General features: G+C 43.8%; 2 annotated features.

Moving 5' to 3' along the window:
• Positions 1,232-1,401: an enhancer, noted in NCBI's record as "experimental_45205 CRE fragment used in MPRA reporter constructs". NCBI's record gives its function as "activates a minimal promoter by MPRAs in K562 erythroleukemia cells, with activity observed for both the introgressed and non-introgressed 16:77264653 or rs12149296 variant alleles {active_cell/tissue: K562}" and the evidence as "EXISTENCE:reporter gene assay evidence [ECO:0000049][PMID:34662402]".
• Position 1,317: a transcriptional cis regulatory region, noted in NCBI's record as "Neanderthal adaptively introgressed variant 16:77264653 (GRCh37/hg19 assembly coordinates) or rs12149296 in the experimental_45205 CRE". NCBI's record gives its function as "modulates activity of the experimental_45205 enhancer by MPRAs in K562 erythroleukemia cells {active_cell/tissue: K562}" and the evidence as "EXISTENCE:reporter gene assay evidence [ECO:0000049][PMID:34662402]".

Below are 13,225 nucleotides of genomic sequence, written 5' to 3' on the forward strand. Positions count from 1 at the left end.
TTTTTTTGAAACAGAGTTTTGTTCTTGTTGCCCAGGCTGGAGTGCAGTGGCGTGATCTCGGCTCACTGCACATCCGCCTCCTGGATTCAAGCAATTCTCCTGCTTCAGCCTCCTGAGTAGCTGGGATTACAGGTGCACACCATCACGCCTGGCTAATTTTTGTATTTTTAGTAGAGATGGGGTTTCACCAGGTTGGCCAGACTGGTCTCGAACTCCTGACCTCAGGTAATCACCCTGCCTTGGCCTCCTAAAGTGCTAGGATTACTGGCATGAGCCACCACGCCCAGTCTTTTCCCCCCTTTTTTTTTAATAGATGGGGGAGGAAACCTAATTTCTGAGAGATTCTGTGTTTTGTTCAAGGTCAAAAAACAGCTCAAATAAGTCAAAGGAGGCCCACCTGGATCCAAAATCTATATACCTTCCACTATATCATATGAGAGTCCTCTGACTGTCTTTAGGGGAATGACATTTTCCATTTGAGTCAATGGAAGCTATAGCTTTACAGAGTAATGACCTTTACCTTATACCCTATTTTAATTCCCTTTAAGCCTGAGGGCCCTTGAATAGTTGGTTTCTACAAAAATGAAGCTGAAAAACAATTACCAAAATATACTAACGACCTCCATGCTATAAAATTATTCACGAGCTAGACCACGGCGAGACTTCTCTAACAAATCCACATCATCCATTTCAAATTTTTAAATTAAATTGATGGCTCTTTAGCTCTGATATGTCACTTTTGTTTTCTTTTCTTTGAGACAGAATTTCACTCTTGTTGCTCAGGCTGGAGTGCAGTGGCACAATCTCGGCTCACCGCAACCTCCACCTCCCAGGTTCAAGCAATTCTCCTGCCTCAGCCTCTGGAATAGCTGGGATTACAGGCTTGTGCCACCATGCATGGCTAATTTTTTTTTTTTTTTTTTTTTTTTTTTTTTAGTAGGGACAGGGTTTCTCCATGGTGGTCAGGCTGGTCTCGAACTCCCGACCTCAGGGGATCTGCCCGCCTCGGCCTCCCAAAGTGCTGGGATTACAGGCGTGAGCCACTGCGCCTGGCCTGATATGTCACTTTTAAAATTCCAAAGGCCCTTTTCCATGAAAGGATCCAGGAATTACTGGCTTCCGATCACCCTTCACAGTCCTTTGTTCATTTTGCTGAACTAGGGTTGCCATTAGAATGGTTCACTGAAGCTCATTCATTCCGGACATTGCCCAGGTGTCCTGCTGTGAAGAAAATTGATATTTTTATTGTGGCTCTTTCAGTTTGCATTGCAAAGGCAAGTATTTTTGAAATTTTGAAATAGAACTTATAATACTGTGTTAAATTCCTATTGCTTATTTCCTCATATCTGCCGGCTGTGTTCTCACGTCCATCTTTGTGTTTTCTGGAGCGCCAATATCCTAGCTCAGATTGGCATTGCCACTTACATGGCTACGGGAGAACTTCATTTCCCACTCTGCCTCTAGCCTTGTTCATTTCCATTTGTCAGTCACATTGTAGTCAGAACTAATTCACTTATAGCTCTTTACTTCTCTGGTTTCCCATGAACTACAGGGTCAAATCCGAAAACTTTATTCCAGAATGCAAGTCCCTCTCTAATGGTCTTATGTGAACCTACCTTTCCAGCCATACATCCCACTACTACCTCTCACCATTCTGGACCCCTCCCTGTCCACCCGCAACTCATGCAAGGCAAGATTTCTTTTCGAATATGACTTTTCTCCCTGCATGGTGTTTACTCTGATTGTATTTTATCTTCAAACACCAGAAGCTATTCATTTTTAAGTGCCCCTTTATCACATAGCCTTCCTTGACCTCTCTGAGAGCAACCTCTGTTTCCTCTGTGTTTCATCATCAAACTACTTATACCATGTCTAGATGAAGTATGATCATTGATGTTATACACCTTCGTGTGCTGGCTGAGAGCTTACATTCTAAGAAATGAGGTTATACCTTATTAATTTTCATATTATCTCAATAATAAGTATAACAAGTTACTGAGTAATTGCTGTAAGAGGAGAACATCTTTGGAGCATCTAACCAACTCACCATGATTTTTAAAAAATCATCTCCCTCTATCAACAGCACTACATGGTGCTATCATTCCCAACAGTCATGTCGTCAAATGTAATTTTGCTCAATTCACTTGCAGGCATCTGAAGATTATGAAATTTAAAAATAAAATGTAATCACTCACGTGCTTAGTGGCAGGCCCTCTGCTTAATGTTATTGCATAAGCATCAGTCATTCGGGTATGGTCTTTTCCCATTGTGTCATTATAGGTCTTATAGACATTAAAAGAACAATAAAAGTGTGTGTGTTTGTGAGCTAAATGACTTCGGAGAGCAAATTAAAACATTTAGATGAGATGGACAAATTTCTTGAAATATGCAAATCCCTTAAACTGATGCAGGAGGAAATAGAAAATCTGAATAGCTCCATACCTAAATCATTATTTGGAAAAAGTTAAAATTAGGCCCATGTCTCACCATCCACCACAAGAACAAGCAAATAAAGGATCTAATGTAATAATATGAAAGCATACAAGTGCTAGATGGAAACACGGGTGAATTTCTCTTTATTCTGATGTAGGAAAAGGCTTTCTGGCTATGACTCAAAACCCAGAGGTGATAACTTTGACTACATAAAAAAATTTGCATGGAAAGAAATACCATAAATGTTCAAAAATATGTTACATATATTATGGATAAAGATTTAATATCTATAATATATAAAAAACTCTTGAAAGAATAAATTTCAAAAATGAGAATTCTTTAAAATATAAACAGCAAGAATCAAGACTGCTTATGCAGAATTATAAATATGTAAAAATAACAGCAAAATAATGAAAAGGAAATAAACTATTTTTTTTTTTTCCAGATGGAGTTTCACTCTTGTCACCCAGGCTGGAGTATGGTGGTGCCATCTTGGCTCACTGTAACCTCTCCCTCCCAGGTTGAAGTGATTCTCCTGCCTCAGCCTCCCGAGTAGCTGGGATTACAGGCACCCGTCACCAAGCCTGGCTAATTTTTTGTGTCTTTAGTAGAGACGGGGCTTCACCATGTTGGGCAAGCTGGTCTCAAACTCCTCACCTCAGGTGATCTGCCCGTCTTAGCCTCCTAGAGTGCTATAGTTATGAAATAATGACAATTGCTACTTTTTTCCTTTTTTCTACTTCTCTGTGTTTTTGAAATACACTAAGTACATCTTTCTTTTATAAGCAAATAGATGTTATTATAATAAAAAATGTTAAAAGACACAAAGAGATACCATTACAGGCTCACTAATGTGTAAAAATATTAATACACATTGTGGGGAGGTTGTAAAATAACCGGAACACTCAAACATCGCTGGTAGAAGCACAAAGTGGTGCAAACACTTTGAAAAACGGGTAGTTTCTTCTAAATTTAAACACATATTTACCATGACTCAGAAATTCCCCTCCGTGGTATTTACCCAAGAGAAATGAAAATACATAGCTTCATTAAAAAGTATACGTAAGGCCGGGCACGGTGGCTCACGCCTGTAATCCCAGCACTTTGGGAGGCCAAGGCGGGCGATCACGAGGTCAGTAGTTTGAGACCATCCTGGCTAACACGGTGAAACCCCGTCTCTACTAAAAATACAAAAAAATCAGCTGGGCGTGGTGGCGGGTGCCTGTAGTCCCAGCTACTTGGGAGGCTGAGGCAGGAGAATGGCTTGAACTGGAGAGGCAGAGGTTGCAGTGAGCCGGGATCACGCCATTGCACTCCAGCCTGGGCGACAGAGCAAGACTCCGTTTTTTAAAAAAAAGTATACGTAAATGTTCATAGCAAATTTTATTAATAGTTGCCCCAAACCGGAAACAACCACTGTAATTAGAGTTTGAAATCAACATGCTCCACATTCAGGCCACTCTCATAACCACAAAGATAATGGGAAAATAGAGCAGGAAAATACTTTGATATACTTAATTTCTGTGAAAAAAACAGGATGTTTTTCTGATGTCTGTTTCTTGGAGACAAGTAATTGTTCATCTCATTATCGCCTCAGACGAGAAACAAAGCAAATAAGAAATGAGATCGTTCTAATCCTTCTATATTTTTGCCCAAATCTTAAGCCACAGAGTAAATAAGATTCTCGGGTATGGATGAAAATAGGGCTACTTTGTCAAAAGTGGAGTATAAAAAAGAGATGCTTTCTCACAGATGAGAAAGAGCTTCCTCTGGGTTGGGAAGGGAGTGAGGGAGGAGAGAAGCCCTGGACTTGGACGAGGAGTCCCAGGTTTATGCGGTGTTTACAAAGAAGTTGCAGGACTGAAAGGGACGTGCCCAGTGGCATATTTATACAAACATGGGATTGGCAAAGAGGCTCCCCCCCCAGCCCCCCCCACCCACATCCTGCGCACACCATGGAAATGGCCAAGGACCTCTTGAAAGGTCCAGAATTCACAGATCTCTCAAAAATCACCTGGTAGAATAGCTGGCCAAGAACCAAACGAACCTCCACACTGTAACTCCTAACATCACCCTTAGAGGTTATGTCAGAGGCCTTTGAACCAGAGCGACTCCATCTTGAATAGGGGCTGGGTAAAATAAGGCTGAGACTTTGCTGGGTTGTATTCCCAGGAGGTTAGGCATTTTAAGTCACAGGATGAGATTAGGAGGTCAAACATCACAAACACCTTCCTGATAAAACAGCTTGCAGTAAAGAAGCTGGCCACACCCACCAAAACCAAGATGACAATGAAAGTGACCTCTGGTCGTCCTCACTGCTCATTATACATTAATTACAATGCATTGCCATACTAAAACACACTCCTACCAATGCCATCACAGTTTACAAATGCTATGGCAATGTCAGGGAGTTACCTTATATGGACTAAAAACGGGAGGAAACCTCAGTTCTGGGAATTGCCTACACCTTACCCAAAAAACTCATGAATAATCCACCCCATGTTTAGCATGTAATCAAGAAGTAACACTAAGTCTGAGCAGCTGAGCGGCCCAAGCCGCTGCTCTGCCTATGGAGTAGCCGTTCTTTATTCCTTTACTTTCCTGATAAACTTGCTTTCGCTTTATGGATTCACCTCTAATTCTTTCCCGCGGGAGACTCAAGAACCCTCTCTTGGGTCTGGATCAGGACCCCTCTCCGGTAACAGTTGGAGCATATAATTACCACCCACCTGTCAAAATGTGGGCCACCCGAAAATAAGTTAGTTATAAAAATTAAAGCTGATATGGTTTGGATTTGTATTCCCACCCAAATCTCCAATGTCGAATTGGGGGAGGGGCCTGGTGGGAGGTGATTGGATCTTGCACGTCAGCGTCCCCCTTGCTGTTCTCACGATACTGAGTTCTCAGGAGATCTAATCCTTTAAACGTGTGTGGCACCTCCCCCTTCTTACTCACTCTCCTGCTCTGCCCTGGTAAGACGCCCCAGTAAGACGATGCTTGCTTCCCCTTCGCCTTCTGCCATGATTTTAAGTTTCCTGAAGCCTCTCAGCCATGCTTCCAGTTAAGCCTGCGGAACTGTGAGTCAGTGAAACCTCTTTTTTTCATAAGTTACCCCGTCTCAGATAGTTCCTTGTAACAATGGGAGAACGGACTATACAAAGAGTGCAGCTTTTTTCACACCTGTGTGGACTGAGATTAATACTGTCTACATATACATGGCAGGTGTCTTCATTTTAACCTAGGAGGATGTTTGAGGAATGATTTACACAGGTTTCCCTTGGGAAGACAGGATGAGGAGACATTTTCTTCATTTCATGCCATTTCCTTTAAATTAATACATGTTAAGCCTTTAAATAATTTTTTTAAAGCCAAAAGGAGAGGATTATGAGCTGCTTTTTGTTTTTAGTATTTATGTGTTTAATTTGTTCTATAAGTACACACAAAGCCAAGTGAAAAGGTTCCAATAGAGGTTTGGGTGTGAGGCTTTAAGTGGCTTCTATTTTGCAAGGTTTCTATGAGGTTAAACAGTAAATATAACAGTATATATTGCTTTAGAATACATATTTGTTTCCATGCATAAATAACATGGAAAAATTACTTTCTGGTAAAGTTGCTTAATTCCTACCACTGACAACAACATCTTCACATAATTTGCTTCAGAATCATGTAGGGGCCTCAAAGACCAGAAAGAAAACAAGCAGCACAGGGTGGTTTGTAAAGTGCAGCAGGGTGGGTACCGTGGCTCATGCCTGTAATCCCAGCAGTTTTGGAGGCTGATGCAGGAGAATCCTTTGAGGCCAGGAGTTTTAGACCAGCCTGGGCGACACAGTGAGACCCTCACCCCCACCACCTCTGCAAAATATATTTTTAAAATTAGCTGGGCGTGGTGGGTGCACCTGTGGTTCCCGCTATTCAAGAGGTTGAGGCATCAGGATCACTTGAGTCCAGGGAGGTCCAGGCTGCAGTGAGCTGTGATTGTGCCACTGCACTCAAGCCTGCGTGACAGAGCAAGACCCTGTCTCAAAAAAACAAAATCGCAAAACAACAACAAAAAAACCCAACCACCCCCTCGCCAAACATACAAAAGTGCAGTGGTAAAGATTTGTGTAGGGGAAGGCGGGCCCAGAGGATGTTTTGAAGTCATCAGGGGCTCTGCTGGCAGCCAACTAGTCTTTCCTGTGTGTTTTCATGCCTTCCAAAAGTGGACCCTGGGAATTCGGGCGAAAGTGGCCCAGTCCTTGTGGCTCCTAGCCTAGAACGCTGAATAGTCTGGAGATTTGCTGAAAGCGACTCTCACCAGGAGATGGCAGCGTCGGCTCAGAGATGCTCCAAGCGGTCCCAACCGCCTTGTGACGCCATGCAATATGTTCAGGGCACACCAGAGGGCGCTACGGCTTCGCGGCTGGGCACTGAGCCGGGCTGGCTCCGAGGCTTTCTTTGCGGAGCCTCCTGTCTCTGCTCCCCGACCCACATGTGCACCTACTAACCAAGAGCGCCCTGTTACTGTCCACGTAGGTGTGACTGCTCTGCGTAGACACACACCGCCCCCAAGCTGAGGCAAGGCCACTGAGCCACCAATTCCAAGCAAGGTTCAGAAGGAGCTGCCATCTTTTTAGCACCTCTTTTAGACTTAAGCCACCGAGGGGGAAAAAGCAAAGAACTAGGACGAGTTGCATGCATGCTTCAGTATACTCAGCACAGATGCGCACACTAAAAGATCATATCTATCCACATAGATGTGTAGTTTAACATAAGAAAGTAACTTTATCCTTTACCCCGCCCGCTTAATACTCTAGGTGATTGATTTACAGGGTGGTAGAAAAGAGATGCAATCCCAAATTTGTCTAATTCTAAATCATCCCTTCTTGTTAAAGCCTTCACTCCCCCCTGCAACGCTGGAACAAGAGAAAATTCATTCGAAAATTAAATTCAGTGTCACTTGTAATTTATTTTTTTTTATGGGGTCTTGCTCTGTTGCCCAAGCAGGAGGGTAGTGGCACGATTTTGGTTCACTGCAGTCTCGACCTCCTGGGTTCAAGTGATCCTCCTCCCTCAACCCCCAAGTAGCTGGGACCACAGGCACACACCACCATGCCCCGCTAATTTATTTATTTTTATTTTTATTTTTTGTAGAGACAGAACCTCACCATGTTGCCCAGGCTGGTCTCAAACTCCTGGGCTTAAGTGATCCGCCTGCCTCGCCCTCCCAAAGTGTTGGAATTACAGGCGTGAGCCACTGTGCCTGGCCTTTTTTTTTAATTTTCCAAACAGATCACTATTGCACTAAATAATTTTACCAACTGCTAAATAGAAGCTTTTCTACCAAAAGCAAGTTCTGGTTAAGTGAAATATAATATGGAATTCTGGCCTCGTGTAGAGTCTCAGGAGCATCGCATATTACAGTCTTTTGTAATCACAATAGCACCTAGAAAGTCCAATTACCATATACATTCTAAAGCAAGGCTAAGGCCTCACAGCTTGTAATCCCAGCATTTTAGGAGGCCGAGGCAAGTGGATCGCTTCAGGCCAGGAGTTTGAGACCAGCCTGGGCAACATAGGGAGACCTTGTCTCTACGAAAATTAAAAAATTAGCTGAGTGTGGTGGTACACGACTGTAGTCCCAGTTATTCGGGAGGCAAAAGCTGGGGAGAAAGGATCACTCGGGCCCAGGAGGTTGAGGCTGCAGTGAGACAAGACCCTGTCGCTGAACTCTAGCCTGGGCAACAGGGTGAGACTCTCTCTCAAAAGGAAAATAAAATAGAACAAGAGTAGATGAAACATGCTGTGCTTGTTCCCTAAAATGTTAATAAGTAAAACAAAGTGCATGTTGTCAGGTCGAGGTGAGATGTGAATGAGTGCTGACCCAGGAGTCTTTTTCACACAGATGACTGCTGGCTGCAAGGCCTTTATAATCAGCAAAACAAAGCTATCTGGTAAATCAACATGAGCTGAAAGTGACATTAACAAAAGAAAAAAGATTGAAGCCATGAATGTAACAATTTTTCTCTAACCTGCCTTGGTCAGACCACTCTTGGTGGTGCTGAGCTTTTGATGCTACACTTTGAAGGTGTTTTGAGTGACTGAAAAATTGTCAGGAGAAGGCTCTGGATGGTCAAGTACTACCCCAGGCCAGATGTTCCCAGGGCCCTCAGCTGTTTTTTATACTGTAGGCTGAAGAAGAGATGACTTACAGAGAGCATTGCACCTGTATTCAAATACGCACATACTCGGGGGAGGTTTGAAGGGCTCTTAGTGATCAGATGTAGACCTATGAACAGAAGATAGACACAGAGGTGGAGCATATATCCTTTAAGGAGAAACATTGTCACACACAGCATGATCCTGTAGTGAAACGGGTAGCCTGGTTAAGGGATCAGTAAACACGTGAAGGACTCATGAGATATTAACACATAAGAAGGAAATTCTTTCCACGGATGGTACGTGCTAAAGTAGATGCTGGGAGTATGACAGTGACCGAGGCAGGCTCTGTCCTTGCCTTCCCAGGGCTTCGGACTGATGGGAAAAACAGGCATTACAAGCATGGGTGCGTGAAATGTAGTATAACTGCGGAAGTCAGAGAATAATTCCCAGGGGAAGATTGTCTAATCTGTGACCTGCAAAGTGAGTGAATAGGAGTGACTTAGATAAAGAGAGTGGGAGAAAGAGGATTTTCCCATGGGAATAATCTGCCTTCCCAAACACAAAGGTATCTGTGACTTCCTATACACATGTGACTTTTCCAAAACACCAAGAAAGATGTCCTAACAAACTATCCCAAAGTTTTGTGATTGAAAACCACGATCATGTATTTGTTGATGATTCTGAAGCTTGGGCTGGGTCTGGGTGGTTCCTCTCTTGGCTTACCTGGGGCCCCACGTAGGGCTGTCATAATATGTTAGGTCAGGTTGGGTAAATGGTCCAGATGGTGTCAAGTTTCTGGCAGTGGATGCTGGCATTCTCTGAGTCACCTTCATTCTTCTCCACCTGGCCTCTTATCCTCCAGTAGACTAGACAGTTTGTTTTATCGTGGTCTCAGGGGAGCATTTCAAAAGGGTAACGGAGGGTGCTTCAAGGTATTTGGGGGCCCGGGTCATAAAACTCACATACAAGGCAGCTCACTTGAGCTCAGGAGTTCAAGAACAGCCTGGCCAACAAGAGGAAACCCTGTCTCTACTAAAAAGTACAAACATTAGCCGGGCATGGTGGTGCATATCTGTAATCCCAGCTACCCGGGAGGCTGAGGCAAGAGAATTGCTTGAACCTGGGAGGAGAAGGTTGTAGTGAGCTGAGGTCATGCAACCGTACTCCACCCTGGGTGATGGAGCAAGACTCAGTCTCAAATAAGTTTGCAAGCTCTCTTTTAAGCAAATCCTTCTGTCATTTTGAGGTGAACCGACAACCCCCTCTCCTTTGTGCTCGAAAGTCTTTTGGAAATCAAGTAGAAGCATGTTCCTGAAGCCATACCAAGCATAACAAGTATCTTCCGCTTCCTAAGGGTACCTCTTTGTTCCTTTAACCCAAAGAAGCAACTGTAGACATACAAATCAAGAGTCCAGCAATTCTTCATAGTTATGAGTCGGAATTTGTGTTATTTAATCAACCTTAATGCTGGCAAAAACTATTCCTTTGTTTTGCTTTGGGGAGAACTGGAGTCTCTTTGAGGTGGCAGGAATAAAGATCTGTTGATTCAACGCATTTTGTGTTAGATCAGCTAGGCTCTGTAAAATGACATGCCCCTGAGCGTCAGGTTGCCTGTATTTTGCTAAGATAGGAAGGATCCCCTCAGGGACAGACAGGCCTGGGGCTAATTATTGCTGCAGGGTGGATTCATCCTGAATCTTTTCACTAACAAAGACAAATTATCTCATATATTTTACAAGGCCCTAAAAAATTAGGTGAGTGACTGTAAATGTCCAGCCAACACATGAACCCAGAGTCAGCAGACAGCACCCAGCCAGAGAGACTCCTCATTTTGGTTTGCATAAAGATGAGACTAGGTTACCACAATGGGACAAACAGTTGATGAGATCTTTCACATACCATGATTTTCTTTGATCCTCACTGCAGGCATTGAGAGGGAGGCATTATTATTACCTTCTTCTGCAAACAAGGAAACTGGCTTGGAAACCTCAGAATAAGAGTCAGTAGAGCTTGGGTTTTGTGGACGTCCAGCTCTCAGCACCAATTCCACCTCCACCATCCATTTGCAGTGTGACGTTCAGCAGGTTTTTAAACCTCAAATCTCTTCGAGACTCAGTCTTCTTATAATGGGGATGATACTACCTACGTCATAGACTTGTGACAACAGAGAAGAATTCATTCACACCTGCACCCACCAACAATGCCTGGCGCCTCAGCAGTGTTATCAGTGGTGGTTAAGCAGTGGGCCTGAGGTCGGACTGCTTATGTTCAAAGTCTGTCTCTGCTGCCTGCCAAAGGTCAGACATTTAAAACCTGTGCCATATTGCCTGATTTATAAAATGTGGACAATGGCTGGGCACGATGGCTCACGCCTATAATAATCCTAGCACTTTGGGAGGTCGAGGTGGGTGGATCACTTAAGGTCAGGAGTTCGAGACCAGCTTGACCAAAGTGGTGAAACCCTGTCTCTACTACAAATACAAAAATTAGCCGGACGTGGTGGTATGTGCCTGTAATCCTAGCTACTTGGGTGGCTGAGACAGGAGAATTGCTTGAACCTGGGAGGCAGAGTTTGCAGTGAGCTGAGATTGCGCCACTGCACTCCAGCCTGGGCAACAGAGCAAGACTCCGTCTCTAAATAAATAAATAAATAAATAAATAAATAAATAAATAAAGTGAAGAATAACAGCTGCCCTAGTAGTTTATTGTGAAACTTGAAATTGGTAATGGTAGGGAAAGCCAACAATAAGCACTTAAATGAAGATGATAATAATGGTTCTCTTAACCCTCGCGGGATCTATCCCAGGTCACAGAGCGTGTAAAGCCCAGGGCCCGGTTCCAGTGCCAGGTCTTCTGGATTTAAATTCTGAGGATTTTCTATGGTGAGACTAGAGCACAGGCCGAGTACAGTGGTTCATTCCTGCAATCCCAGCACTTTGGGAGGCAAAGGTGGGTAGATGACTTGAGCTCAGGAGTTTGAGACCAGCCTGGGCAACATGGCAAAACCCCCACCTGTATAAAAAATACAAAAATTAGCTGAACGTGGTGGCAGGCACCTATAGTTCCAGCTACTTGGGAGGCTGAGGTGGGAGAACTGCTTGAGCCCAGGAGGTCGAGGCTTCAGTGAACCATGATCGTGCCACTGCACTCCAGCGTGGGCAACAAAGTGAAACCCCATTTCAAAAACAAAGAAAAAAGAAAAAAAAAAACAGTAGAGACTACAGCACAGAATTAAGGGCAAGGATGGTAAACAATTTGAAGTTCCAAGACACGAGATTTCTGTGATGGCAGAAGAGACTTGAGCAACTTTCAAGAGACAATGGAAGCCTGGGAGGGCTGGGCTAATGCCTTCCATGTGGCCAAGATGCGACCTCTCAGGCTTTAATCAGACAGTCTCAGAATGAGGTTACGTTGCAAGACCTGCATAGCTTTTCTAGTCTGTGCACAAACTGTGTTGGTCACGGACTGAGTTATGAAGCTATTGGGTCTGGGTGTGAATGGCAGGGTCTGTCTTCAGCTCAAGTTTGATAGAGGAATCTCTGCCATAGCCACAAGGAAGCCATGTTACTTTATTTTCCTTCCTTTATCTCTGTAGCCGCCTCTTTTCAGGAATTACTGGGGGTAGTCATTTGTATGTGTAGTAAAAAGTGTCTTCTGTATCATTCACTCTTTTTGCTTCTTTCTTTTTTTTTTTGAGATAGAGTCTCGCTCTGTCGTCCAGGCTGGAGTGCAGTGGCATGATCTTGGCTCACTGCAACCTCAGCCTCCTGGGTTCGAGCGATTCTTCTGCCTCAGCCTCCCAGGTAGCTGGGACTACAGGCAGATGCCACCACGCCCAGCTAATTTTAGTATTTTTAGTAGAGACGGGGTTTCACCCTATTGGCCAGGCTGGTCTCAAACTCCTGACCTCGTGATCTGCCTGGGCCTCCCAAAGTGCTGGGATTACAGGCGTGAGCCACCGCGCCGGGCCCCATTCACTCTTTTCTGGCACTACCACTTGACTGAGGTCAAATGGCTATTTGTGTTAAGATTCCATTTCCTTATCTGTAAAATGGGTAACAATGTATCTATTCCTCCTAAATAAAGTATTTTCTTGGGATTTTAACTGAGTTCATATAAGATAATGTAGATAAAGCACTTGCCAATTATTTACTAGTCACTGCTTTACTACTTATTGATAACTCTATTCGAGATACAGTATTAGGGATATAGCAGGAAGAACGGGATTTGGTTCTTTGGTTATAGCCTGGAGGTCTGAGTTTGAGTCCTGGTTCTGTTACTGATGAGTTTTGTGATCTGGGAAAAGTAACTTTTTCTTTCAGACCTTTTTAGTTTTTTTTTCTTCAGCTTTTAAGTTCAAGGGTACATGAGCAGGATGTGTGGGTTTGTTACATAGGTAAAAGTGTTCCATGGTGGTTGGCTGCACAAACCATTCCATTACCTAGGTATTAAGCCCAGCATCCATTGGCTATTCTTCCTGATGCTCTCCCTCCCGCTGCCTCTCTCCCCCACACAGGCCCCAGTGTGTGTTGTTCCCTCCCTGTGTCCATGTGTTCTCATGGTTCACCTTTCACTTATAAGTGAGAACATGCAGTGTATGGTTTTCTGTACCTGCATTACTTTGCCGAGGATAACAGCATCCAGCTCCATC

The sequence above is a fragment of the Homo sapiens genome, chromosome 16 (genome assembly GCF_000001405.40).
Source record: "Homo sapiens chromosome 16, GRCh38.p14 Primary Assembly".
NCBI classification, from domain to species: domain Eukaryota; kingdom Metazoa; phylum Chordata; class Mammalia; order Primates; family Hominidae; genus Homo; species Homo sapiens.